The 27,840-nt window shown below is 50.6% G+C and overlaps 1 protein-coding gene across 13 annotated transcripts in view, besides 2 other annotated features; it reads right to left on the bottom strand.

The window, feature by feature from the left end:
• The window catches only part of SYNJ2 (synaptojanin 2), a 117,881-nt gene that overhangs the window by 32,505 nt on the left and 57,536 nt on the right, over nucleotides 1–27,840 (bottom strand). For 9 of the 13 annotated variants that reach the window (XM_047419472.1, NM_001410947.1, NM_003898.4 and 6 more), the window contains 8 exons: nucleotides 23,273–23,356; nucleotides 11,644–11,705; nucleotides 7,319–7,415; nucleotides 4,508–4,680; nucleotides 2,800–2,881; nucleotides 1,922–2,071; nucleotides 1,681–1,846; nucleotides 37–228 (listed from right to left, as the gene is read on the bottom strand). In XM_047419472.1, the coding sequence (XP_047275428.1) occupies nucleotides 37–228; nucleotides 1,681–1,846; nucleotides 1,922–2,071; nucleotides 2,800–2,881; nucleotides 4,508–4,680; nucleotides 7,319–7,415; nucleotides 11,644–11,705; nucleotides 23,273–23,356 (1,006 nt within the window). Of the gene's footprint in view, nucleotides 1–36; nucleotides 229–1,680; nucleotides 1,847–1,921; nucleotides 2,072–2,799; nucleotides 2,882–4,450; nucleotides 4,681–4,894; nucleotides 5,037–7,134; nucleotides 7,246–7,318; nucleotides 7,416–11,643; nucleotides 11,706–23,272; nucleotides 23,357–25,964; nucleotides 26,001–27,840 lie in introns of those variants that run through there. The other 4 variants (XM_047419473.1, XM_005267198.5, XM_011536226.4 and 1 more) reach the window with 4 other exon arrangements.
• Nucleotides 16,592–17,206: an enhancer, noted in NCBI's record as "H3K27ac-H3K4me1 hESC enhancer chr6:158470498-158471112 (GRCh37/hg19 assembly coordinates)". NCBI's record gives its function as "activates a minimal SCP1, AML or CMV promoter by ChIP-STARR-seq in primed H9 embryonic stem cells {active_cell/tissue: H9 hESC(primed)}" and the evidence as "EXISTENCE:reporter gene assay evidence [ECO:0000049][PMID:30033119]".
• Nucleotides 25,202–25,737: an enhancer, noted in NCBI's record as "H3K27ac-H3K4me1 hESC enhancer chr6:158461967-158462502 (GRCh37/hg19 assembly coordinates)". NCBI's record gives its function as "activates a minimal SCP1, AML or CMV promoter by ChIP-STARR-seq in naive H9 embryonic stem cells {active_cell/tissue: H9 hESC(naive)}" and the evidence as "EXISTENCE:reporter gene assay evidence [ECO:0000049][PMID:30033119]".

The raw sequence follows: 27,840 nt of genomic DNA, 5'->3' as shown, positions 1-27,840 counted from the left end.
ATTGGATTTTGTCTCCCCCAAAGTCACTGCCCTCACCCTGGGAGTCGGTAGCTCCCGAGAGCTGGGGCGAGTCGAGCAGCCAGTCTGTCAGCTCCGCCGTCCTGAGCACGTTGCTCCGGAACTGCTTTCCTCCGTTCACGTTCCAGGTCCCCATAGCAATCCGGATCCGCTTGAAATTTGTGAATTCGGACTGACGCTCAGTCATAGCTTTCAGGATCCTGGGAGTCACTGTCAGGAGGCATAAAAAGGCACATTTCTTTGCAGTTCCAAAGCTCAGGCATCCTCCAAAAAGACAGATGAGGCTGCCTGGCAGAGACAGATGGTTCATGAGCCTCTAGAGATAAACCAGGGTATGCTCCTTACGAAGACGACAAAAGGCTTAAAACCACGGTCACCACGGGGCTTCCCTTATGGCATTTCTACAATAAAGGCGTGAAAACATAAGACTGGAAACTCACCGTCTATACCCCTACCCCCAACTGAAGCCAGAAGCCATGGGACATCAGACCATAGGGATCTCAGACACGACAGGGAAAAGCCGTGTCCTCACTGTCCACTCCGTAGAAGAACAAGGCATAGGAATTTAAGCAAGGGCATGCTGTAACTGACCATATTTCATTGTGTATGCATCCATATACACTATAACTTTAAGTGTCTTACCAACCCAGACAGCCACCTTTGCATCCTCTGCCTTCCAGCCTGCATGTCTGATATGTTTTGTTTTGCCCCAGACTTAAGGCTTTAAAAAGTCACTACACAGAACCATCTCCATCCTCTAGATAGCCAAAATATATTCCACCTTTTAAACTTGTGATGTAAACCAAATCTAACTCATGTCTGCCTTGCTATTAAATAAGACTCACTGTACAACATGGAGCTTTGTTCACCTTTTACAGAGCTGGCACTGTTTCCAGAGTAGAAACTAAATATCACCGTGCCTATCGGAAGCCAAATTAGAGCTCCCCCAGTGACGGTGACAGTGGAAAGGGCCGTGAACCCATTTTAAGCATGGGCTAGTTCATTTTTCAAAAACACCTGACATTTCTAAAGCGACACTTGTACATTCTTATAAGGAAAAATGCTGGGTTTCCCCTACTTTTCCATGAGACCTAATATGTTTACAGGCTCAGGTAAGAAGATGCCATTAAAATGCTCCCAAAGGAACCTCCTATATTGATGGAATCACGATGTCTTGCCGCTGAGACCAGAAGGTGCCCTCATCCCCAGGGGATGACAGCATCCTCCTTCTCTGTTTCCACAGGGTCCTCAGGGGCCAAGAGAGAAACTGGAGGCCAACTTCATGGGAAGCTCCCAAAGCCAACATCACCTGCTAAGGGCCCAAGAGCCCAGGCAGCTGAGGAAGTTTCTGGAGTAGGTTAGCATTCAAAGGCACCGATGCGTTTAGGAGAGTGCACGGCCTCTCCCTGAGCCCGCCTGGTGTCTCTCGCTTCTCAGGATGGAAACACAGTCCAAGCCGAGACAGAGGAAGCGTGAGCTCCCAGGCCCAGCAGGAAAGCGCAGGCTCCCGGGAGAGGCAGTGACAGCTGCAAGGTGCATGGTCCACTGCTCAGATCCCAGGCACCTCTGCCACCCGCTCTCTGGATAGCACAGAGGCGGTGGGAAAGTGGGGCTGGGGAGCACCCTACCTCCCTGCCTCGCCCTGTCTGCGGCAGGCCCTACCCAGGAGCGCCGTGCTGTCCAGCAGCATGCCCCCTTTGTCTGCCACCTCCTCGCCGTAGACGTCCCCAACCAGCAGCAGCTTGATGGCCTCCTGCTTCACCCCGTCGAAGAAGTTGGACTGGATGGTTCGAGACATGGACCGGGCTCCATCCTTCAGCTTCCCCACCTGCCGAGAGCCCAGACCGCAGGCCGTGAGGGGGGTCCCTGGGGCCCCCACCCTGCCCCCTCGGCGGGGCCCTACCTTGGCCTTCCCTTCCAGGGCTCTGCTGCCTGTGAACACCTTGCTCAGGCTGTGGCCATTCAGAGACCACATGGCTTTGAAGGACTCCACAAAGCGGTCAACGATGGGTTTTGAACTCAGCCCCAGGGTCTTGAGCTGCAGATGCAGGACCTGGGGAGGAATAAGGGATGGCTGTCACTGGCTTCTCCCACAGAGGCCCTGCAGCCACTGTCCCAGGAGGTTCCTTATTCGGCAGCCTGTGGATTACGCTGTGCCTGGAAGACTCTGTGCCCCTCCAGAGGATGAGGAGTTCCCACAGCAGAGAGTGACTTCCCACATCTCACCCCAACTTTATCTATAGGGTCCACCCAAGCCCTCCTCTCACCCCCTGACACTTGAACGCCCCTGCACCCCGCCCCGCCCCACCCAATGCCAGAGGCTGAAGAGCAAACAGTGGTGGACAGCAGGGGGTGCTGACCCTACCCCCGACCCCCCAGCCAGGAGAGGTCAACCAGGCAGCTGGGGCCATGCAGACAGAGGTCTCCCTCCCCAGCTTCAAATCCAGCCTCATCCGGCCAGCCTCACACTGCCTTTGGCCAATGGTGCATCCACGATAATCATTACACACAACCGCTGTTCCCGAGGAGCCTTTGGGCCACCATGTCTGGGATGCATTTCACAAGAGGGTGTGAGAAAGTGTGCCTACGACAGAGAAAGCAGCCTCCTGGGGAACCCCTCTCTGGATGTCCCAGTGTCTCCCTGTCCACCTTCCCCATAGTCAGAAGGTTGTCTTGGTGATGCCACCCTCATCTTGCCGCTAAAGGTGCTCAGCCCAGCCTGTCCAGCTGAAGTCACAGGACCTGGCACAGATGGCCGAAAAGGCTGTGGCAGGGACGCACCTCGAGCGCGATGAAGCTCTGCACAGTGTTGGTTCGGTCCAGGCAGTCAAGACAGTTCATCCGCAAAGTGCCTTTCTGAAAACTTAGGACAAGAAGAAATGTAAACGGTTATATGTTGTTTTCAAAGAAGCAGTGGCCATAGCACAGAGGCCCATGTCTGACTTTTGACTCCCAAGGAAACATGGTTTTTTTTTTTTTTTTTTTTTTTTTTTTGAGACAGAGTCTCACCTCTGTCACCCAAGCTGGAGTGCAATGGCATGATCTCGGCTCACTGCAACCTCCGCCTCCCAGGTTCAAGCGATTCTCCTGTCTCAGCCTTCCAAGTAGCTGGGACTACAGGTGCGTGCCATCACACCCGGCTAATTTTTGTATTTTTAGTACAGACGGTGTTTCACCACATTGGCCAGGCTAGTCTCGAACTCCTGACCTTGTGATCCGCCCACCTCAGCCTTCCAAAGTGCTGGGATTACAGGTGTGAGGAAACATGTTCTAAGAGGGAACCCCTCACCTCCTCATCAATAGCCCCCCAGAAACCCCAGTGTCCATCCCAGTGGATCCCCAGCACTTCTGGAAAGGCAGGCAGACCCCAGGACACACACTCAGTAGCCTGCACAGCTGGGTCGTTTTACGTTTAGCTGGTCCTTGTTATTTATAGCAATTATGTTCTATAAAGTTGTAGGAACACTGAATTGGACATGAACACAGAACCATCGCTCCTAGGGGAAATATAGGGTTAGGTTCCTGCAAACCTCTGGTCACATTTTTATCAACTGATCAATATACAACCTTGTTTTATGTATGTTTCCATATAAAGACACCTTATTGAATATATATATTTGCTTAATTAACACTGAACCATGGCCGACAGCACTGTAGCTCATATAGGGACAAAGCTTATCTTAACGTGCATTTTCTCCATAAAGCACATCACCACCTTCTTGTGCTCAGAAGTACTAGACAGCTCTTCGGCACACTGCTTGGGGCCATTCTAAACCATGAGATCCCCGAACAAAGGGGGGCCCCTAACAAAGACCCCACAAATGTGAAAAACATGGTACTAAATCTTAAAAAGGAAACTTGTTTAAATACGAGGCCAGAGTATTTAAATACTCTGTCCAGCAAAAATGCTTTGCATACTGATTTTGGGGTTACAAATCAGTTTTAAGGAATAGGTAAATAAGCCAATATGGAATCTGCAAATAATGAGGACCCCCTGCATGTGACCTGAGGGAACTGGACTTCGTTTTTCTCCTCTGCTCTGAACAGGGAAGTCCATACCCTGGTCTCCTCTAGCAATCTAAGTCTATGCCAGCCATCCCACCGCGACTGTGGCCCTCACTCTCACAGGCCTGCGTCACAGCGTGGAGCTCCATGTTTTAATGCAGTCCCCTTTATTAGTTCATTTCTTTTGCCAGAAAACCATGACTCAACATCTCCTTGAGAAATTCAAAAGCCTGTCTCCTACTGTGGGAAGGGAGATGAGAAGCTGGAACCCAAGATTCCCGGCGTCGCCAAGCTTATGACCCAGGAAACCACAAGGGTAACTGAGTGGGGAGGGAAGGAAGCTGCCCCTCATAGGGCACATGTCCTAGACTGCACGGCCCCTCTGCCGCCTCACCCAGCAGAAGGCACAGCACGCAGCGAGCCTCACCGTGGACTGACGCTTCCCCCCAGCAGAAGACGCGGCACAGTGCGCAGCGAGCCTCACCGTGGACTGACGTTCTCCCCCTTTGTGAACACATCGAAGTCTTCCCAGTGCAGCTTTAACTGTGGCCTCAAGAGGGTCTCCAATTTCTCTAGCTTCCCACCTTTGGCAAACTGATGGAAGTCAAAATTGATCATAGGCGTGTCGCCCGCGTGGCAAGAAGCCCAGAGCAGCTTCTGAAAAGAGGAGGGGAGGGCGGTGAGGGGAGCAGAGGGAAGGGAGGACGAGGAGGGCAAGCTCCTTGCAGAGCTTGACCCGTGCGGCTAACCAAGGTGACTCGCCGCAGGACGTGCTTTAGCTGGAAGCTCACAGTGGACCAGGCAGTTGACCCCAAAAGGGAAGCACAGGACAAAGGCCCTGGGGGGACAAAACCCACAAAGAGCGTCTTGCCTGCGAAAGGGCAGAAGGTCCCCCTTGAGCAAAAGAAGCCAGAGCAGGTGTGGCTTCCTGGAGAGATCATACTCCTGCAGGGCTCTCTGGAGGGCACAGGTGAGGAAGGACTGCTCTGTTCTTCAGGTGGCCCAGGTGCCCCAGGCCCTCAGAGATAGCAGTGCTGTGGCAGGCTGCAGAGCTCATAATCCAGCTCCCCGTTGCCCTAGTAACCGGCCCCATCCTGCCGCGCACCAGCCTCTGGTGGTTATGCTCTGAAGAGACCAAGTCTCCAGCTGAAGTGGCCCAGGTGGGTCCCACATCCCGATGCTACTTCAGGATGGTCAGGGAGCCAGAGTGAAGGTGGGGAGAGATGGGAAGCAGGTCAAGGGGCTGCTGATGGCACCAGGATGCCCTTAAGAGCCCTCCCTTCCATATGAGGCTTCCCTGGCCTGGCAGCTCCCTGGCTTTCTCCCCAGAGAGCCCCGTGATGAAGGACAAACTGTCCGCCTACCCAGGCCACCCGGCTTCCAGGCCTCTCACCCTGCACTCATGCCCTTGTGGCTTCAGGTCAGGCCAGTCCAGCCTCTGCCCAGCCAGAGGTCCTAGTGACTTGGAAGGACTAGAAGGACTTGGGGGTCATCTGATCTGACTCAACGTGACTGCCTGTGATAGGTCTGAGTGTAAATCAATGCAGTGCTGCCATCATCAAGCAAGTCTTGCTGTGAGCAAGAAGCTGGAGGAGCCCAACAGTGCCTGGTGGCTCAGTGCCATGCATTCCACAGCCAGTGCTTCATCCAGCAGGACTGATGGCCATTGGGCCCTGGGCAGGCTGCTGGGCCACCAACCTTGGTCTGGGCCAAGCTGAGGTGGCTGAGGGCCACCCCAGGCAGGGCCATGACCCAGGTCTTCAGCTAGAGTGCCCCTCCCTACCTGGCCAGGAGCCCACCCTTCTCCGCATGAGGTGGCTGCCATCTCCCGCCCTCACCAGTGCCGGGCACTTCACCCACTGATGGGAGGGGCCACAACTCAAGGCATAGGGGAAAAGGACTTGGGGTTCTTATTATTATTCTTATTTTTTAGCTTTTTCCCTTCTTCCTTCAAATTAGCAGCCAGCATCACTGCCAAGATGGGTGGGAAGGGAGACACTTCTGGAGCTCGTTGCTAATAGCAACAAACCAAACAGGAAAAGCAGGTCTGGCCAAATAAAATTGGCAACCAGGAAGTGCCTGCTCTGAGCATGAGCATGTGGCATTTCTAAGCAGAGGGAAAGGCTCAGAGATCGCCCTAACCCCCAGTGAGGCGACTTCGAGCTCTCTCTGTAAGGGATATCTTTGAGCTTTAAACAACGAGAGAGTTTTTCTCTATTAGGCAGGGGACATGGAGGCTGGTAAAGGAACCAGGAGCCCCCTTGGCTCATTCTGGAACGTCTTGCGCCTGGGGAGCAGGGGGCGGGGGCTGGAGGCCTGGGATCCATGCACAGGGATGGAACCTGGCCAGGTGGGCGGAGTCTCTTGCTCCCATGGCTCTGTGACCCTGCCCAGGATCTGTCCAGGATCGCCAGGAAAAGCCCCCCAAGGAAGTCTGAAGGAGCCCACAGGAGCCCAGCAGCAGCAGGTCCAGGAGCTGCCATGAAAGCCCGAGGAAGAGGGGGAAATTTGAAGGCCAGCCGGCAAGCAGGGGAAAGCCACCGAAGTTCCTGCTCCTGAGCCCTGAGGCCGGGTGCCCTGTGGGGCTGGGGGAACTCACCCAGGACCAGCCAGGGCAGAAAGGGAGGCCTGCCTGCTCCTGGGCTGGACTGAGAGGGGTACCTTGAGAGGTCAGAAGCCCTCAAAGCCCCATGGGGAGGGAGGGTAAGGGACACATGGCTGGGGACAGGAGATGCTCTGTTTTGACTTTGAGCAAATTCTCCCAACCATCAGCTCACAGAAATTACACTCACTAGGCCGGGCGCGGTGGCTCACGCCTGCAATCCCAGCACTTTGGGAGGCCGAGGCGGGTGGATCACCTGAGGTCAGGAGTTCTTGACCAACCTGAACAACATGGTGAAACCCCGTCTCTACTAAAAATACAAAAATTAGCCAGGCGTGGTGGCAAGTGCCTGTAATCCCAGCTACTTGGGAGGCTGAGGGAGGAGAATCGCTTGTACCTGGGAGGCAGAGGTTGCAGTGAGCTGAGATTGCACCACTGCACTCCAGCCTGAGCGACAAGAGCCAAACTCTGTCTTAAAAAAAAAAAAAAAGAAAAGAAATTACACTCACTGTATCAGGGCCCGAGTCACTGAGCACTGCCGTGTTCACTGGTCGGAATGCTGGGGAAGCCTCAGGAAACGAAGGAGGGCTGGGCTGTCAGCTCCAGTCCCTGCAGGAGCCACCTCCAGGCTCAACGCTCCACCATGGCCACCTGCCGCCCAGCCCAGCTGTGGAGAGGACAGCCTGGCCTTACCTTGAAGGCTCTGTTGAGCACCTCCTCTCCGCCTCTGCTTCCCAGAAGGTTCACGACCACCTGCTGCCCGTACTGCTCCTTCAGAAGCACCATGTGCCTGCAAAGGCAGCGGGGTGGGCGTGATGCTGGGCACGGGCACAGGTGCAGACTCTGCCCTGTTCTGCCCCTCAAGGGAAGACGGGGCAGGAGTCATGCTTTCTTAGTGCCACAGTCCAGGACCAGCTGTCCCCCATGACCCAAATCGTGGAAAATGAGCCTGGGTGGAGAGAACCTGCACCTCCCAGCTGCCATTACTACTAGCTAGCGTAGACTTCTACATTTGTTTGGAATCAGACAAAGGATATGCTGCACTTTCTATAAAGCACCTCCCATTATATCTAGAACACCTAACCTGAACTTTCATCAAGAGAATTTTGTTTTTGAGACAGGATCTCAGTCTGTTGTCCAGGCTAGAGTGCAGTGGCACGATCATAGCTCACTGCTGCCTCAAACTCCTGGGCTCAAGCAATCCTCCCAACTCAGCCTCTCAAGTAATAGGGACTACAGGTACATGCCACCACATCTGGCTAATTTTTACTTATTTATTTTTCATAGAGACAGGGTCTTGCTATGTTGTCCAGGCTGGTCTCGAACTCCTGGCTTCAAGCAATCTTCCCACCTCAGCGTCCCAAAGTGTTGGGATTACAGGCATAAGCCACCGTGCCTGGGCTAGAGTCTTACACATGCAATGTGCACATGTGTGAAATGAATCTCTTATTTTGCTTGGTACCCACCCTTCTCAAAACTAGAACAACTGGCAGGAGAGCTCTCAACTCAGCATCCTGTTTTCAATCTAAGTGCTATATTGCATTATGCTAAACCACAACAAGGAGATACAACAAAACTTGCAGGCTTTGGAAAACATTCCTTGTATTGGAAGCTACTTTCTAAATATGTATGTTGAAATATTAGGGAGAGATTCCAATATTTATTCTTGATCACCAGCTTTTTAAAAGTAACCTTACATTTCAAATTTAAACATGTTGAAATGTAGTGCCTTAAACAAAACATAGGGAAATGATACAATGCAAAAAGCAGATGTCAAATTATCGTTTAATGGTGCAATCTTTATGCCTAAATATAGAAAAAACACTGGAAAAAAACACATGATGTCAAAAGTGGTAGAATTTTATATGATTCAAGTTCTTTTCTTCTTTAAACATCTTTCTCTTTTCCAAATTTCTGTAATGACACGTTTATGAGCGGAATTTTTTAAAGAGCTAATAATGATCATGAAAAAAATCATTTTTTTTCTTATGCAGTAAGAGAAAACATTCTCTTACTAACTTTAAGGGACAGTAGTAGAAAGACTATGGATTTTGAAGTGGGTAGTTTGAAGTTAGGCTTGCCTGCTGACTCCCTGGCCTAAGTTAAGGGTGAGCACCCTCCCGGGCTCCCGTCTCCACGTGCAGCTCCAGGCAGCCCTGGGGCGGGCTGTGTGTGGCTTCAGCCCTTGTGGGCTTTCTTTTGGGTCGGTCTGCCCAGAGAAGGTGCATCCCAGGCCTGGCTCTGACACGTGCAGGCTCTGCCCCTGGTGAGGGAGCCCACCGTGGCCACACATCCAAGCCACATCCCACAATGTGGCTCATCGGAAACAAGGCCCATTTCTGATCTCTTCCTGTCTCATTCCTGCCCCTTCTTCTCAACTGGTTCCAAAGCCCAGGGCCAGAAGGAAACTGTTATTACTCATTATTACTCACTATTCCTCATCATTACTCTATGCTGTCCCAACCCCAAACTCCCCTGATCAAATGATTCATCCCTTCTGAGCTGGCTCCTTCATCTATAAAGCAGGGCTACTTCCCCTCCTGCGGAGAATGGCGAGGAGGACTAAAAAGACGAGTGAAAGTGACAAGGACAGTGCTTGGTGTGTGGGACGTGGTTCCTCTTTCTTTCCCTTTATTGTAAAATGCTCGTTATTGGTGAGCTGAGAGGCCCTGCCGACCCAGGTAAGGGGACGCTGGCACCCAGGGCGTAAGGGAGCGCTGGCACCCAGGGTGTAAGGGGACGCTGGCACCAGCAGCAAGGTCGGCATCATACGGGCTTCTTCCTGGGTCACCCTGAGCATTGAGGCCTTTTTTTCACTTCCCCTGCCTACGGGTTACTGTCATAGGAAGCTACTTGGAAAACAGGAGTTTTTCGGGATACTGAGGAATCAGATTTCTATTTGGAAGCATCCTTCTCATCTTCAGGGAGGGACCAAGAGTTCAGCACACCCTGATGTGCACAGCAGCCGCCCGCAGAGCGGGGCGGGGAAGGAGAAGGGGTTCACTGTCCTGTGAGGAGAGACTGAGGCACCGCCCTGTGAAAGGTTAGCCCTTCCACCGAGACTCATCACCACACAGAGATGACAAGACCCCACTCAAGCAGCTGCAGCCAAAGTCCTGCTGCAAACAGCCCTCCTCAGATATGGAGCACATACAGCAAAGTGACAAGAGACCGCCTCGGCTAACAGGGGCACCCATGCAGCTCAGGCAAAGGAAAACAAGCATCCTCTGGGAAGAAAAACTATCTGTGTGAAGGTTTTGCGGGGGAAAGAAAGGATTTACTCTCAACCAAATCCATCAGAGAACCGCACGACTCTTGAGAGCGCAGTGATGTCCCAGAGAAGAGAATTGGGAAGCACCCAGGACAATGCACATGCCAGTCCAGGGACACCATCGAGGACCTGGGCAGCCTGCTTTCAGGGGGACCCTCATGGTGCCCCACTGCGGCCACTAGGCAGACATGTCACCTTATTTCCAAACGTTATCTCGAATGAGGGGAACATAGTCAGCAATGAACATGAGAGCAGCAGCACCTGCAAGGGAACGGGAGGGCTCCTGCCTCCAGCCCAGTGTCGTGGGTAAGAAGCATTACAGAAGAGACTTCCTGGACACAGTAGCTGCCTGTAGAAAGACTCACCCTTTCAGCAGCTTGTCCTGTGATTTGCAGAAGAGATCTAAGTGTACCCCTAGATTTAGGAATGCTTTCCAAGGGGCAAGGCAGCCTCTGGGGTGCTTGTGAGGAGAGAGAGGTCTCATTCTCTGTGGTACGTGCATCTCACACACCATGCATTACCAGGATTCTGAAAAATCTGCAGTCTATGCAAATGTGCTTCAACTAGATGTATGTATTTTTTAAGAAAGCTCCTAAACATAGGAGGGTTCCTGAAGCGAACCCAGCATGACCCTTCCCTCTTGTTTTGGGTCAGCTTCGGGTAGAATATTTTTGTTTTTTGTTTGTTTTGTTTTGAGATGGAGTCTCGCTCTGTCACCCAGGCGACTCCCTAAAATCTGAGCCACCAAGCTCAGCCAGGTAGAATTTCATTTTTGGTTTCATGTTCACTATTTCCTAAGACAATTTAGTATAGATGAATGTCAACTGAAAGAACTCCGCATGTAGAATGCTCAGGACATACTAATAATGCTTTGGAAAAGGCAATGGTCTTGTCTATACTTGATTAAATATCTCTTTAAAGAAAAGCGCATTACATGTCACACACTAATCAGGGGGTCACATCTGGGCTCATATGACAAGTGTTATGTTTAACAAGAGTATGAAAGCAAACTTAAAGTCTCAATAAAGCTTCAGGTAGAAGGACTCAAACACTTAACACATTACTTTCGAGAATTTTTACTATATTCACTAAGACAATTTTAAAATATTGAGTATTTAGATTAAATAAGCAAATCTTTTAAGAAGTTATTATTTCAAATACATATTACAAATAGCTCTGCTTTTCTTAAGCAAGCTGCAAAACAGTAAATGTGTTATGATCCAATTTGTGTATTTAAATACACACACACACACACACACACACACACACACATAAAATGCCAAAATTGTTTTCTAGAATGACATGTAAAAAACTACTAATAGTAAAATCTCTGAGAGTGGTAACTGGGAGTTAGGGTACTTTTATTTTTCACTTTATACTTTTCTATACTTATTTATTCTATACTATTTTAAAACAAAAAACAAACAGCTTCAAATACCCTATAATTTAGATGATCCCTTATTAACCAGGGCATAGAGATGAAGCCTCATTGCAAGAAACTGGTAAGATAAAATAATTATAAAGTGCTACCTGAACATTCATTAATTTACCTTCAGGAAACCTGAGAACAAAGTAAAAATCCCATTTTGTCATCTCCCTTCTTGCATAAAGGACCAAAGGGAAAGCAGCTTTAGATTCAGGGTTCAGGGTCCTCCCTTTCCCGTCGCACCCTCTCCCTTGTGTCTGATGGGAGGACGATGTCTAAGGATGACAATGACAGGCTTGGATGGTGTCAGACAATCCCTACCTGTCGAAAGCAGGGGCATTGGCTTCCAGGCCTCTGTGGAGTCTCAGATGATGGGAGCCAACCTAAAGCAAAGAGAAGTAACAACAGTGATTCTTCCTTCTCTGCAAACCAAGGAGGCCATGGTTTTTCCCATTCTCCTTCTTACTCCCAGCCAGGCTGCATGTGGCACCCACTAGGCCACCTCTGTGGTCTCTTCAGGGCTCAGGAAGGCTGAGCTCTCTGGATTCAGCTAACAGTGCTCCAAACTCAGGTCTAGGTGCCTCGAGTCTGGCTTTGCTGCTGCCCAGTCCTAACTGCAACATGACCATGTCTGCTGCAATTCTTCCACAGAAAGCAGATCCAGGGTAAGATGATGAGGCAGATGTCAGATCCTAAGCTCTCTGATAGCACAGAGGTCAGTGAAGCCAACTGTGGAGACAGAAACTGCTTCTCAGTCTCCTTTATGCCTTCAGGGACACTAATTTCCCCCTAAAATCTGAGTCATCCTAATGATCAAATTTGCCTTATTATTAATAGAACTATTTATTTAATACTCAACTTAGTTTTAGAAAATACATTTAAAATACATATTGTTGCTGGAGTCAGCTTAAAGGGGCTTTTGCTGGCCAAATCTGGGACAATCTGAACATCAAACTGTATGAGGACAGTAATGGATTTTAACCTGATGAATAAAATAGAAATTCATGAATCTATACTGATGATAACTAGATGGGTGAATAGATGGATGGATGGATGGATGGATGAATAGCTGGGTGGATGGGTAGGTGGGTGGATGGATGGATGAATGAATAGCTGAGTGGATGGATGGGTGGGTGGATGGATGAATAGCTGAGTGGATGGATGGATGGATGGATGGATGGATAGCTGAGTGGATGGATAGATGGGTGGATGGGTAGGTGGGTGGGTGAGTGGATGGATAGATGAATGGGTGAATGGATGGGTGGATGGCTGAATGGATGGATAATGGGTGGATGGATGAATGGGGGGATGGATGGATGGGTGAATAGATGGGCGACTGAATGGATAGATGGATGGGTGAATGGGGATGGATGGATGGGTGGGTGGATGGATGGATCAGTGGATGGATAGAAAGGTGGATAAGAGAATGGGTGGGTGGATGGATGGATCAGTGGATGCATCAGTAGATGGATAGGTGGGTGGATGGATGGACAGGTGAATGTGAGGATGGATGGATGGGTGGGTGAATGGGTAGATGAAAGATGGATGGATAGGTAAGTGGGTGAGTGGGTGGGTGGATGGGTGGGTGCATGGATGGGTGGATGGCTGGGTGGATTGATGGCTGGATGGCTGGATGGGTGGATGACTGGATGGATGGATGGATGACTGGCTGGATAGAGGGATGGGTGGATGGTGGGTAGACAAGTAGGTGGATAGGTGGATGGGTGGGTAGATAGGTGGACGATGAGTGGATAAGCAGGTGGGTGGGTGAATGAGTGGATGAATGGATGGGTTAATGGGTGACAGATGGGTGAATCAGTGTGCAGGTGGGTGGGTGTGTAGGTGGGTGAATGGGGAACAAGAGAGGGCTCTATAGTAGAATACCAAGTAATAAATTTGGAGGAAATCATTTAAAAATCATCATTTTACAACTGTCATAGTAAATAATTGTTCAGCAAAAATTATCTGTTGATGATAAATCTTAAGGGAAAGTTTAGTAAAAGGCAGGATACCAGCATGGTCTCAAAGTGTCTCCCATAGATTGCTGATTAGTTGGAAGGGAAAACATATTAACCGTAAGTGGAGAAACTGAATAGCACCTTGACTGGGTGACCAAAATTAACATCACTAATGAGTGGCAGATGGACACCGTGTGCCTCCAGATCTGGTACCCTGAGAAGGATACAGCATCATGTAGGTAGCATTCTGGTCAGGGATCCATACACTGAATGTGATTATAATGAAACACTAGGAAAATGTAAATGTAGGGACCCTCGACTTAACGGAAAAGAAGGCTTGCATTCTCCAAAAACATCAATGTTTTGAAAGACAGAAAGCCGAGGAACAGATGCAGATTAAAGACTAGAGACATGACCACAAAATGCAGTATGTGATGCTGGACTCAAGGCGGGAAAAGGTGCTTCAAAGGACATCACTGAGACAAGTGATCAATTTGGAATATTGCCTGCAGATGAGATTGAAGTACTTTGTCAATGTTAAATTTCCCAAATGTGTACCTATACTATATGTAGGAGAGTATATTTTGCACTTAAGTAAAGAGACACTGACATGGTTTGGATGTGTGTCCCTTCCAAATCTCACGTTAAAACGTGACCTCCAGTGTTGGAGGTGGGGCCTGGTGGGAGGTGTTTGGATCATATGGACAGATCCCTCATTAATAGCTTGGTGACAACCCCATGGTAATGAATGAGTTCTTGCTGGTTCACAGGAGAGCTAGTTGTTTAAAGGAACCTGCAACCTCCCTCTCCTTGCTCCCTCCCTCGTCATATGACACACTGGCTCCCCTTCCTCTTCCACCATGACTGTAAGCTTCCTGAGACCCTCCCCAGAAGCAGATGCTGGCACCATGCTTCCTGTATAGCCTGCATTACCATGAGCCAAATAAACCTCTTTCCTTTATAAATTACCCAGCCTCAGGTATTCCTTTACAGCAAGGCAAATGGACTAACACCAATGTGATATATGCAACCTACTTTCAAACGGTTCAAAAAATAATAACGTGTGTGGCAAAAGGTTAAAATTTAGTGAATCTGGGTGAAGGACATATGGGAGTTCCCTCTTGTTCTTAAATTTTTTCTGTAGGTCTGAAATTATTTCAAGAATAAGTAGTTAAAAATGCACTCTTTAGTTTTGCTTCTGTTTGAGTGTTGTAAAAGTAGTGTCAGCAGATTTATCTATGTTATGAGATGCAGCTATTATCATGCTTCATGTATCATTGTATAACTCAACACTGCAGGTGATACAACTGCCCCATCTCAGACTCAAGAAAAGCACCCATCTAGAGAACTGGTTTCTCAGCAATAGATTTAGAGATTCCTTGGAGAAGGTTTCCTTTTCTTTTCTTCTTATTCTTCTTCTTCTTTTTTTTTTCTTTGAGACAGGGTCTTACTCTGTTGCCCAGGCTGGAGTGCAGAGGTGCAATCACGGCTCACTGCAGCCTCAACCTCCCAGGTTCAAATGATCCTCCCACCTCAGCCTCCCAAGTTGCCGGGACTACAAGTGTACACTACAACACCTGGCTATTTTTTTTTTTTTTTGTATTTTTTGTAGAGATGGGGTTTCGCCATGCTGCCCACGTTGGTCTTGAACTCCCGGGCTCAAGTGATCCACCCACCTCGGCCTCTCAAAGTACTGAGATTACAGGCTTGAGCCATTGTGCCCAGCCAGGTTTTTTTTATATAAACAGTTCAACAAAGTCCCAAATCCCTTTTGGTCCTAAGACACTTTGGTCACAAGTGAAGTGAGTGCAAAATGAGGTATCTTGGCTGTTGGCTAATGGAGCTCCTAAGAAAGGCTCACCCCAAACCTGTGGGGTTTTTTTTTATTTTTTTGCTGCCTGTGTTACCTCTGTCCTTTATCCCCATGGCCATCAACACCTGGCTGAGGAAATCTCAGAAAATTTGAAAACTTTCATGGTCGCACTACCGAGAGGCCTGCTCCATCCTGCACCCTGAGGGAAGTCAGCGGGTCTGTGTACCCCTCAGCCACCCTATGAGAGGTCACCAGGGCTAAAACCCAAGAGAGGGGCTACCTGCTCTGTGTGGTCTGTCAGTCATCACAAGAAGTCTCCCCTGGCTTCAGCAATGAGCAGCAGCTGTTTATAGGATCATTCCCCATGGGAGCACAGTAAGAAGAGAATACAAGCTTGGCAGGCCAGGGCTGAGGAGCCTGGCTCTCCGTCGTGACAAGTTCTATTACTGGACATGTCTAACTGTCTCTCCCTGAGTCATAACCCAAAGCCTCTTCTTTTAATTAGGTAGAAACTGTTGCACAGATGACTGGACCTAGCAGGCTCCAATCCCCAGGCTCTATAGCTCCCCCGTTAACATATAAACTGCACTATCAGTCAGCAGTCCATTCCTCAGTTACTGAGCGCCCTCCGAGTCAACATGCCATTGGGTGTCATGGAAAGGTGGGAAAGGGATGGGAGACGCTGAATCCCCTGGCCTGGGTGATGACACCTAACCAGAACCCCCATGGAAAGACCCAGAAGCACTTCAAAGTTTCTAACAAACCTGCACAAGCGCAAATTAATTTGACAGAAACTATGCCCTTGAGTCCAGGGAACAGGCAGCAAAGCAGAGTGAAATGAGGCACCTGCCTTTGATGGGGTCCCCTCAACCACATCAGTGAGGACTCAGGGAATGTGGCAAGCAGACGGCATGCCCTGGAATCAGCTGCCCACAGCAGAAGGCACAGCCCGGACAGGGGCTGCAGCACATCTTTTCTGAGGCCTCAGGCTTGTCTTTTATCCTGGACTTAGACAAGCATTCCGTGTGGACAGGGCTGGGCCCAACTGTCACAGGCATGGTCAATATCCCCTGCAGTGGCTAGTCCAGTATCACTGCTGACAACAAACCTTTCTACCTCAGAGAACTAAGAAGTCAGTCGGGAGCACCACCCCCGGGTGAATGACCAGAGCAGGGAATGGGCAGAAGGGATCTGTTAAGTCTAGACCAGTGATTCTCAAAGTGTGGTCGTTGGACCTCCTCTGGGTGCTTGTTAGAAATGCGAAGTCCTGGGCCTACCCCAGATCTGCTGAGCCAGACTCTCCAGGGGTGGGGCCAGGAATCTGTGTTTTAACAAGCCCTCCAGGAGATTCCTATGCACACACGCTGAAGTTTGAGTGGTTCTGGTTTTGACTTATTTCTGGACTTGTTATGTTCCCTTTTGGCTTAGGTTACAAATGCCCATGAAGGGGTAGAAGGTACAGCAGGGAAGACAGCTCCAGGGGCCATGTGCATACCTGCAGAGGTGCATCCACACCTGTAGAGCTGCATGCACACCTGCAGAGCCCTGTCCACACCTGCAGAGCTGTGTCCATACCTGCAGAGCCGGGTGCACACCTGCAGAGCCACGTGCATACTGGTAGAGGCATGTCCCCACCTGCAGAGCTGCATGCATACCTGCAGAGCCACATGCATACCTGCAGAGCCGCAGGCATACCTGCAGAGCCATGTCCCCACCTGCAGAGCTGCGTGCATACCAGCAGAGGCATGTCGACACCTGCAGAGCCGTGTCCCCACCTGCAGAGCCACGTGCATACCTGCAGAGCCATGTCCCCACCTGCAGAGCCGTGTCCCCACCTGCAGAGCTGCATGCATACCAGCAGAGGCATGTCCATACCTGCAGAGCCTCAGGGACACCATGACCAGGCTCAGCTTGCCACAGCTGCTTCCCTGGGCTCAGGGCCTCAGGCTGGGTCCCTCCATCCCCTAAACAAGTTGTATTATTGGACTTGTCTAACCGCCTCTCCCTGAGTCATGACCCTAAGCTGCTTCTTTTAGGCAGGTGGAAAGGCAACACAGTGAGGCCTTGGGCAAAAGTGGAGGGGAGCTGGGCCTCATGTTCTCTCCGGAGCTCACCCTTCCTCCGTCACCCCGTGCATCCCTTTTGTCTGGGTTCCTTGGGCCTCATATCCTTCCTCCCCTCTGTCCTGCTCCAACACTGACCAGCATCCACCTTCTCTGGTGTCACCTAGTCCTGAGGTCACTGGGTGTCAGAAGCCACAGGCACGAGCTGCAGCTGAGGGCAGGGTCCACCACTGTCACTGCATTTTGTAGCTTCCCTTCTCCTCCACCCCGTCCTCCTCCCCTCTGGGCAAAGGGCCAGCTACTCTTATCTGGCCCCTAAAGTCATTAGTTCAATCCTATAGACCAGAGACTGAGGTTAGGTAGACAGCCATGAGGATAGTCGGGGTCTGGAGAACTCCTGGCTGTGGAAGTCACAGCAGAGTCTCGATCAGCACTCAAGAGGCCCAAGGATCGCAGACAGCACCTCCACACCTCTCCCCTGCACCCCACCACTCCTACCAGACTTAAGGTTACCCAAAAATCTCAGCTCAACGGCCTCCCATCTGGTGTCTTTCCCCTCCAAACTAACACTGCCTAGACTTCTGTCTAATTGTGTCTCTACCTCTTGCAGCCCTTTAGCAGTGTCCAGTGTGTGCTGGAGCCAGCTCCTGCAGGCTTGCAAGCCGACGGTGCACCCAGCTGGTCCCAACTCTGAGCTCAGTGATGTGGAGCCGTAGGTTGAAAGTGGCCACGATGGGAGAATTTACACCACAGCAATGGACAAATGCTACAAACCAAAGCTCCCTGCACCCAGTCTGACCCCAATAAAACTGGCTTGCCAGCACAGCACCGAGTGGTTCCCATACTTTTCTGCATGCTGGAGTCACCCATGGGTCTTCAAAAAGGACAGCTGCCTGGCTCCCGGCCCCAGATATTGTGACTTAATGTGTATGGTATCAACCTGGGTATCAGGATTTTTCAAGCTCCCCAGCAGAGTCTTCTGTGCAGCAAGGTTGGGGAGTACTGCTTGAGTAGCTGCTGGTATGGGATGCAAACTCCTCAGTGTAGCATCCACAGGCCCTTGACCCAGCCCTGCTCACCTCTCCTATCTCTCCTCCCATTCCCTTCATGCCCAGGACTTCAAGAAGCTACCCAGTGATGCTCCCTGATCACTGTGAACCCAAGGGTTACAACACCTGCACCCATTGTTCCCTCTGCAAGGGCTGCCTTCCTTGCCTGAGTGCTTCTTCCTCACCCCTCCCCAGTCTGGACCCTTGGGCAGCCCACCCCACACCCTCAGCCTGGGAGAGCTGCCCCCGGGGCCTCTCCCTTCCTCCAACACGGCTCTGTCCACACAACACTGCCCTGTCCTGCCCCCTGCTCCCTGAAGGTAGGGACTGTATCTGATCCCTGGTGCCCCCTACACCTGGCAGACGCTCAGTGAATGTTTGGGATGAATAAATGGCTTCATCTGGGGTTACTGATTTACGATGAGTCTATGAGGGATGAGAGATAAGACTGACCAGGAAGCTGTCTTCATGTTACTACATCTCACGGTGTCCCTGTTCCCACAAAGACAGGAGGAAACTCTCATTCAGTGCTCACGGCACCAAGAGCCATGCTTCTCCGGATGCCACCATTGGTTTTATCTCCTGGGTGTTATCATTTGTTTCTATTAGTATCAATAGCAGCTGCCATTTTGAGTACTTTTTAGATTCTAGATACTGTGTGTTTTTTTTTTTTTTTTTTTTTTTTTTTTTTTGACAGAGTCGCACTCTGTTGACCAGGCTAGAGTGTGGTGGCACAATCTTGGCTCACTGCAAACTCCGCCTCCCAGGTTCAAGTGATTCTCCTGCCTCAGCCTCCTGAATAACTGGGATTACAGGAACCTGACACCATGCCTAGCTAATTTTTGCATTTTTAGTGGGGATGGGATTTCACCATGTTGGCCAGGCTTGTCTTAAACTCCTGACCTCAAGTGATCTGTCCACCTTGGCCTCCCAAATTGCTGGAATTACAGGCATGAGCCCCCATGCCCAGCCAAATTCTTATATTACGCTCTTTAATCCTCTCTAGAACCCTATAAGGTAGATATTGTTAGCCCCATTTTACAGAAAAGTAAACTAAGGCTTGGCACAGATAAGAGCCTCTCAAACACACATGGTTACAAAGCAGGGGAGCCAGAGTTTGAATTTGAGCCCAGGTCTGCGTCGCTTCAAAGCTCGTGCTCTGAGTCACTGTCATAAACTGGCTGTGACTGTGGTTCTTTCTGTGGTGGCTGCGGGGAAGCTTGGAACAAGCGTCAGGTTCCTTCCCACGCACACAAGACCCACGGCATGCATCGTGGGCACCAATTCGACTCTTGCCCTTCATCCAGACCTCTTCACTTATTTTTGAAACTGTTATACTACAAGCCATCTCATGTCCTTTTTGGAAAAAAGGAAGGTACAAACACACAAGCCCATCCAGCGCCACGACTCCACAAACTTGGCGAATGGTTTCTGGCAGGAAAGAGGTGAAGGCAGGGCAAGAGGGGTCTGCTCTACTCGGCATCCTCCTCCGTTTGGTTCAGTTGCAGGAAACTTCAAAAGACAGACTGAACTCACCTTGGCAAGGCACGTGTCTATACAGCATATGGTGGGGGGAAGCTTCTACAATGACCAGGGGAGCAACGTTGTCAACCACAGACACAGATCATAAATAGATTCTCGAACTAGCTAGACCAGGGAGCAATTTGCTTTAAGGGTAAAATTTCAATGTGGCTATTTATAAACTGCACAGCCCATTTACACGTAAAAATGAAATTTATTAAAGGTACACGGCTGCTAGAAATGGAGTCAGGAAGTACTGAAGGTACCATTACCCAGGAAAACATGCAGACAAATCCTCATCCACCACCCTCTGCTCAACCCTGCCCCATCCTGCTGGGCTCCTGGGTTTCCAACGGCAGCTGTCAAGGAGGGACAGCATTGCAGCTTAATACGCAAGCTACTCACCCCAAAATCTTTGCACTTTTCATCTAACCTAAGTGAAGAAGGAAGAGAAAAAGTTCAAAGTGGAGAAAAATAACTAGAAGCAGCCTTAGGCTTGATAGTGACAGTTGAAGCCGGTGACGGTAGACCACCACTTCCCGCTGCCCTCCCGGCCCCCTGTGAAGATGACTTCATCTCTCTTTGATGATGAGTGGTGTTTAGAGGCTAAACACAGGTATTAGGCCCAAAGGTTAGCAAATCCTTAATAAGATTAAGGAACACTAAAGCCTTCTGAAGCTTGTTTTGAAGAAACCATGGAGGCCGGGCGCGATGGCTCACGCCTGTAATCCTAGCACTTTGGGAGGCCGAAGCGGGCAGATCACTTGAGGTCAGAAGTTCAAAACCAGCCTGGTCAACGTGATGAAACCCTGTCTCTACTAAAAATACAAAAAAAATTAGCCAGGCATGGTGGTGGGTGCCTGTAACCCCAGCTACTTGTGAGGCTGAGGCAGGAGAATCTCTTGAACCCAGGAAGTGGAGGTTGCAGTGAGCCGAGGTCGTGCCATTGCACTCCAGCCTGGGTGACAGAGCAAGACTTCGTCTCAAAAACAAAACAAAACAAGAAACAAAAAGAAGAAACCATGGAGGCTTTGGTGCAGCACAAATGTTAGGAATTTAAGAGGGTGAAACAGCTGCCAAAAAGCTGAGACCTCGTGGTCCACTGCTCCTGGCCCCTGACAGACCAAGGCACAGTCATCCCATGGCGGGTCAGGCTACATCTGAGGCAGCACGAAGGTCAAGGTAAGACCAAAATGAAATCCAAGAGGGGAACGACAAAAAGGAGTGTCATTTTTTAGATGAGGGAGATGAGAACATTGAGAGTCTTAGAAACAGGAGGGAAGGTGGCCAAAGGAGTTGGGAGGCCTTAGAGAAGACAAGAAGAAGAAGAGGGAACCAGAAGACTCCCTCCAAGGACTGAGGGTGAGTCACACGGAGAAGAATCAGACATATTCCCGCGCACCCCAAAACACTCTAGAGTCAGACAGACGCAGCAGTGCAATACAGGAGGAATTCACCAAGAGTCGGAACCATCCCCAGTTGTGGCCTGGAGGACAGCCCTTTGGAGGTCCTGGAAGAGGATCCCTGAACTGGCCTGGCTAGGTGCGGTGGCTCACGCCTGTAATCCCAGCACTTTGGGAGGCTGAGGCGGGTGGATCACCTGAAGTCAGGAGTTCAAGACCAGCCTGGCTAACATGGTGAAACTCCATCTCTACTAAAAATACAACAAAATTAGCTGGGTGTGGTAGTGGGCACCTGTAGTCCCAGCTACTCTGGAGGCTGAGGCAGGGGAACGGCTTGAACTCGGGGGGCAGATGTTGCAGTGAGCCGAGATTGCACCACTGCACTCCAGCCTGGGCAACAGAGTGAGACTCCATCTCAAAAAAAAAAAAAAAAAAAAAAAAAAGGAGGACCCCTGAACTGAGAGTCAGAGGGTGGAATGGATGAATTCCAAAGGGTCCTTCCCAAATTCTAAGAATCCATCATGACCATTCCCCTAATTTTTGGATTTCTTACAAACTTTACATGAAACACAACATGGTCTCCCTGTCTCCTTTTTGTGCCACACTCATTCGATCAATTCTTTCATTCTCCTGAATACAGAGCTCGAGAAGTTTCCAAAGGAAAACTCCATATTTAAAGAAAATCAGGTTTCAAAAACTCTTTTGGAACGTCTGGAATGGGAAATCTATAGATAAAGACAGTAGATGAACAGTCGAGTTGGCATGAGGGAGACTTGGAGGGGATGGGAGAGACCACTAACGGGGACAAAGTTTGTTAGTGGTGATCAAAGTGTTCTAAGATTAGATTACAGTGGTGGTTACACAACACCATAAATGCAGTAAAAGCACCAAGTTGTAGGCTTTAAATGGGTGTGTAAGTTATATTGCAATAAAGCTATTTTTCCAAAAACCTCCTTTGGGCAGCCCTCCGGAGGAGTTTCTGTGTCACAGCTGTCCTCAGGAGCGTTTCTCCGGAGGCCGTCAGTTATCTCGTGCAGTGTGGTGCGCTCTTTCTAGTGGAAAGACTGAATGTTAATCAAGACTTTTCTCCCTACCAGAGCGTGGAGCCTAAACGAGACCTCCATTCATCCATCTCACTGCCCAGGCTGACCCAGTACTTCACCAATGCTGTCACTGCAGCGTGCTGACAGCCATGGGGACAAGTGACTCACCTGCTCCTGGCACAGGGTCAAGTCAAAGAGCAGGCTAAGAAGCTGAACCCAGGACTGGGGACCCTGAGTCCAGCGTTGTCAAACACCCCCTGGAACCTGGCAGATGGCACTCTGGGCCCCAGTAGCCACTGGCTGGCAACCCAAATGCAGTCACACGAGAGCTGTCGGTAAGAAGAGCCGAGAGGCGACAAAGGCCCTGGCCGAGAGGCTTTCTGAAGGCACCCACGTCCCCTCGGGACAGGGAGGAAGACTGGGGATTAGTGGGGAGGCCCCTCCAGTCCACTCGGCCCATAACCCACCTTGTTAGAGACCCTGGTGAAGGAGGCAGCGTGTCATTCCATTGATGACAAATGTGTTCTTGGAATGTGTCCCCACCCTGTGCTCTTCCCAGGAGAAAGAATGCCAAATCTCTCTGGCACTGACCAGAGCCCTGCTTTGGACGGCAAGGGGTATTTTTAGAAATCACGGGAAAGCTGTGGAAGTCTCACGTGGCCCCACAACAGGCAGCACCGGGTGCCAGACCTACGCAGCCACAGAGCCTTCCTGAAGCCCTCCATGAGAGTCACGGCTCTCAGAAACGTCCTCAGTACACCGAACTCAGGGTCTAACCTCAGGCAGTGCTACCCAAGCTCACTTCGCGGCACCCACTCAGCAGGCACCGCAGCACCGTTCCCGAGTCAGCGGTTTCACACAGCATCCTTGACGACCAGAAACAACAAAGTGGTGTCTGTGTTTTCTACACACACGCACGCATGCATATGCACACACGTGTGCACACTTTGATAGCTCAGCTCAACACAACAGGGCTGAGGAAAAAGACTGGAAACTATGCCATGAAACGAACGTGTTAAAAGAAATCTTCCCCAGCTATTGAAGGGAAGGGCAGGGCGGACAACATCACAAGGGGACATTTAAGTTTTTTCATGACCTACCTGAAGCCCTGGCTGTTCCCAGAACAGCGGAACGGAGCCTCTGATCTGGACAAAAGATGACACTCCATCGTCCATGTAAATCATCTGCGGCACAAGGAAACAGAAAGGGAAAGGTATTCTTCAATGAAACCGAACGTCCTGGGCTGGGTAACGGGATCCGGCCACCTGTGACCCGACACCAGCCAGAATGAAGGGCGGACGGTGGACTCCGGCGTCCTCTGCTCCCCCATCCGGCAATGCGCCCTGACCTCTCGCCAGGTACTGGGCGGGCATGCTGGCTGTCGACCAGCCTCTGAGGAGGGGGTCTGCTGGGGGTTGGGGCCTCCCAGGGTCTCCGGGAATTCACACTTCTAGGGCACAACCTTATCGTCACCCTGAAAATCCCAGGAACAGCCTTCCGCCACCCCCTGTATGAATAGAAGTCAGTGTGCTCTGGAATGTAACCTTCCTTAGAGCCCTCTATTTTTGCCTTGGCAAATAGCTAAGCAGAAGAGAGCTATGAGAAAAGGACTGAATGAAATAAAATGCACCAGTGATAGCCAAAAGACCTCACTGACTGTGCTAGCCAGTCTCGTACTTGACAATGCAAGACTCAACCTGATCTTGTACTTGGTCCTGGCCCTGCCCCACTGTGTTCTTAAACACACCACTCAGTTAACACACACAACACGGTTTCCACAAGCTTCCAGTGTGACAGCACCTGCAGAGAAACAAATGATCCGTACACTTTAAGACATCTATCTCCTCCCCACCCACACGTACAGCTATTTCAGAGTGTGCCTGCAGGCCTCCAATGACGCTGGAGTGCAAGGGAGTTTTAAAAGGACAAGAAGTACGATCCTGAGCGCCAGCAGGGGCAGGCGGCGACACTTATCAGATGCGGGGCCTTTATCTGCGCAACTCTAGCCTGGCCTGGCAGGGCGGCCTGGGCGCTGCTGTGGTCCTTTCCGTTCCTCACCGGCCTGCTCCCTTACAGGGCAGCTTCCCATGCAGGCGAGATCACGCTCAGATCACACAGGAATGAGTCATTCTGCAGTGGAGGACCTGAAAATTAGAGCCACTGTTTCCCTGGGCCACAGGAATTACAGGAGCCTGGTATCTACATTGTCAAACTGGAATACTATCCCTTAATCTCCAAAGGAAAAAAGCATGTGTTAAGAACATGCTGTCTGTTTCCAGGTATTGAGTACCAGCAAAGCTGTTGAACTCCATTCTTCTACTGACAAAACAGAATAAAATAGCAGGTTGCTTGAACGGCTACAGACATAGTTGGCTACCGTGAAATTAGGTACATACAACTGACCGGCGTGTGTGCCCTGCATAGGCCCAGGTTCCTGGAAAAGAAACCAACATTTGTATATAAAGACAATGTTTAACAATATCCAGGCTGGGCGCAGTGACTCACGCCTACGGTCCCACCACTTTGGGAGGCCAAGGTGGGAGGCGGGCTTGAGCCCAAAAGTTCGAGACCAGCCTGGGTAATAAAGTGAGACCCCCATCTCTACCAAAACAATTTTTAAAAAGTTAGCCGGGTATGGTGGCGTATGCCTGTAGTCCCAGCTATTCGGGAGGCTGAGGCAAGAAGATCACCTGAGCCCAGGAGGATGAGGCTGCAGTGAGCTATGATTGCACCACGACACTCCAGCTGGGGCAACAGAGTGAAATCCAAAAAACACCAAACAACAACAAAAACCAATGCCCACGATCTATTTAGGCTGAGGAATGTCTCCCTTCACTCTGACTGCCCCAAGTGCTAACAATGCCACTTCCAGCATCACATCAGGCTCCTCCCAAGCTGAGACTTGCCCAGAACCAGCTTCTGAAAACACTGAGGGCTGTCAGTGCTCTGTATGCCCCTCCCTGCCCACACTGGAGCAAGAAGAAAGGAGCTCCAAAGTTCTCCACCCCGTCCTCCACAGGGGAAGTAGGTGACATCTGCACCCCGTCCTATCATCAAGACTGTCTTCTTTGTTCCCAAGGCAGTAGGCATAACTTGACCATCAAATGCAAGTGATACATTTCCATTCTGGGCGAACAACTTTTAATACCAGTGGAAGAAGTGATGTCTCACCTCACAGATGTCATTTTGACAGAGGGCTCTTGGGGTGGGGAGGCAGGACAGAGAGTGGAAGCAGGAGAGAAAGTGGGCTCTGGTATTAGCACAAGCTGGGTCCGACTGCCACTTTGCAAACCCCCATTTGCCCAGCAGGGTGGCCCTGGGCACATTACTTAGCCATCTTCAGCCTCAGTTTCCCTCTCTCTACATGAAGTTCATGTCACCTTGTGCACGGAGAAGGGATGAGCTGTGAGGGGTAAATGAGGGGGGCATAGTCCCAGCACAGAGTAGCCACTCAAAAAACGAAGCTGTTTTCTCTTCCCCAGAGGCCCTGACGCTATGACTATGCATGCGGGCACCTGCTGGCGTCGGAGAGAGCTTGGGTCGTGGGAAGAAGGAGGGATTCAAGAAGGAACAGACAAGAGGTGGGAGGGAGACCGGGAAGAGCAGTGGGGCCACGGGAAGAAAAGTCGGAGGCCCGTGCCAGTGCTGTGATGAGGCCAGGCCAGTGCCTAGACCCCAGACTGAGCAGCCAGAGGGTGACCCTGAGTGACGCTTCCAGAGCAGTGGGAACAGAAACCTAATGGCCATAAAAAGAGAGCGACGAGGCAGGAAAACTCACAGGGGTACATATACCTTCTATCTGAAAGGCTTTCTGCTGACCTTCTGCTTCCAGATACAGTGTCTGCAAACCAATTATCTCCAAGTCTGCATTCCTGGGAGGACACGCAGTCATCCTAACCTCCCTGAATGAGTCAGTGGCCTTATCTTGAATAGCCAAATATTTATCTTACATCCTTTTTTTTTTTTAATAGACTGAGGGGACTTTTTGGTCTTGTTTTTCTGTGTGGTGAGTCAGCACTGCAGAGCAAGCCCACCAGCTATGACTCAGCAGAGCCAAAAAGACTCAAGGCTTCCTCCCAAGGAGGCTGAGATGCTATCTACACATGTACACAACATCTGTGCGTGCAGACACACAACACATACACAACCCACACATGTGTGTATACAACACATAAATGCACACACTGCACACATACACATGAAAAACAAACACAAGGCACACACCACACACATGTATACACAAATGCACAATGCACATGACACATACACACATGTACAACACATAAATGCACATACCACGCACACACTGTACACATACAACCCATGCACACACACACACAGCCTGCCTCAGAGAAAGAAGATTAATTATTCCTCCTAGGAAACATGTTAAACCAAAGCAAAAGCAGAGGGTGCCACAGGGTCCCCCTTTTCTGGCTTCCTGAGAATTAATTCCTAAGAAGCCGATCCGCCTGCCAAGAGTCCCCACCACAGGGAGCCAGTCTGCTCCTGGTCCGGTCCCATCATTTGTTTGCCAGACGATGACCGCACAGCCGCCTGTGTGCACGCTCCACTTCCAAATGGTCAGCGGGCCTGGCTGGTGGATCCTGTTTCCTCTGCAGGGGCCCCAGGCCAGTGTGACCTGCGGGCGGCACCACAAGGGGCTCACCTGCCTCCCCAGCACAGTCCTCCTTCCTACTGGAGGCTCAGCACTAATTTCCTCAAAGTTGCTCCCTGCACCCTGGGGCGAGGCCACCGAGATGCAGAGCCTGCCACTTCCTCAGATGTCAGGTGGAGGGGGAGGCCACGCTGTGCTACCAGAATGAGTTTACCCGACTGTCTACAGGAGCACGTTAAAGGTCTCCAGAAGCGCCAGACAGTCTGCTCCTGTACCATAAGCAAAGCTTATGGAGAGCTCATGACACCGTCCCAACCCAGGCCCTCAGTTGTGACTTTGCAAACTCAAGGGGGTAGGAAGTGCCAGGCTCCCCTGAGGGACCTCTCCAGAATCCCAGCAGATCACTGGCACCTGAAACAGGTAAATCTCACAGGGTCCCAGGCAGGTTCCCCTGCAGACCACGCAGCCCGATCCTCACGGGGCTGCTTCCCTGAGCTCAGCAAGGACCTGCAGGCTGAGCCTTGCTCCACTCTCCTGACTCATCCTAGAAGAACCATCCTCAGCAGGTGGCCGCAGAGCCAGGGAGGGCAGCGGGGCTGCCGCTTCGCAGGAGCATACTAACTGTGCATTCCACTTAAAGACGTGTTTTGTGTTTTAAAAACGAACTTAGATCAACCTAAGCATCAGTACTGCTATAAAGTGACATAAACAAAAATATTCAGTGACTCCAGAGACAGAAAGCGAGGGGTTCCCTTGGCTTATACAAGTGAGGCAACAGGAGTTTCTTGCTTTTGGGGAACAGTCACTTCCCTGCAGCCATCTCTGCTCCTGCTGCCTCTGTAATGTTTTAGAAAAAGGGCTGTCACACCTGTGTTTTTTGGCTTGGAGGAATGCTGACCCCCCACCAGGCCCATGCCCTGGTCCCATGTGTGCAGGAAGCATGAACCCTCTCTGCTCTTCCAGTTCACCTGTGTTTCTTTCTGCTCCATGCCCCTCCTTCCTGGGCTGCGCGCAGCACACGCTTCTCCCTGCCCTGGCTCTGCTGTGCTTCCC

Source organism: Homo sapiens, chromosome 6, assembly GCF_000001405.40.
Source record: "Homo sapiens chromosome 6, GRCh38.p14 Primary Assembly".
NCBI lineage: Eukaryota > Metazoa > Chordata > Mammalia > Primates > Hominidae > Homo > Homo sapiens.
This window is presented reverse-complemented; position numbering and strand designations above follow the sequence as displayed.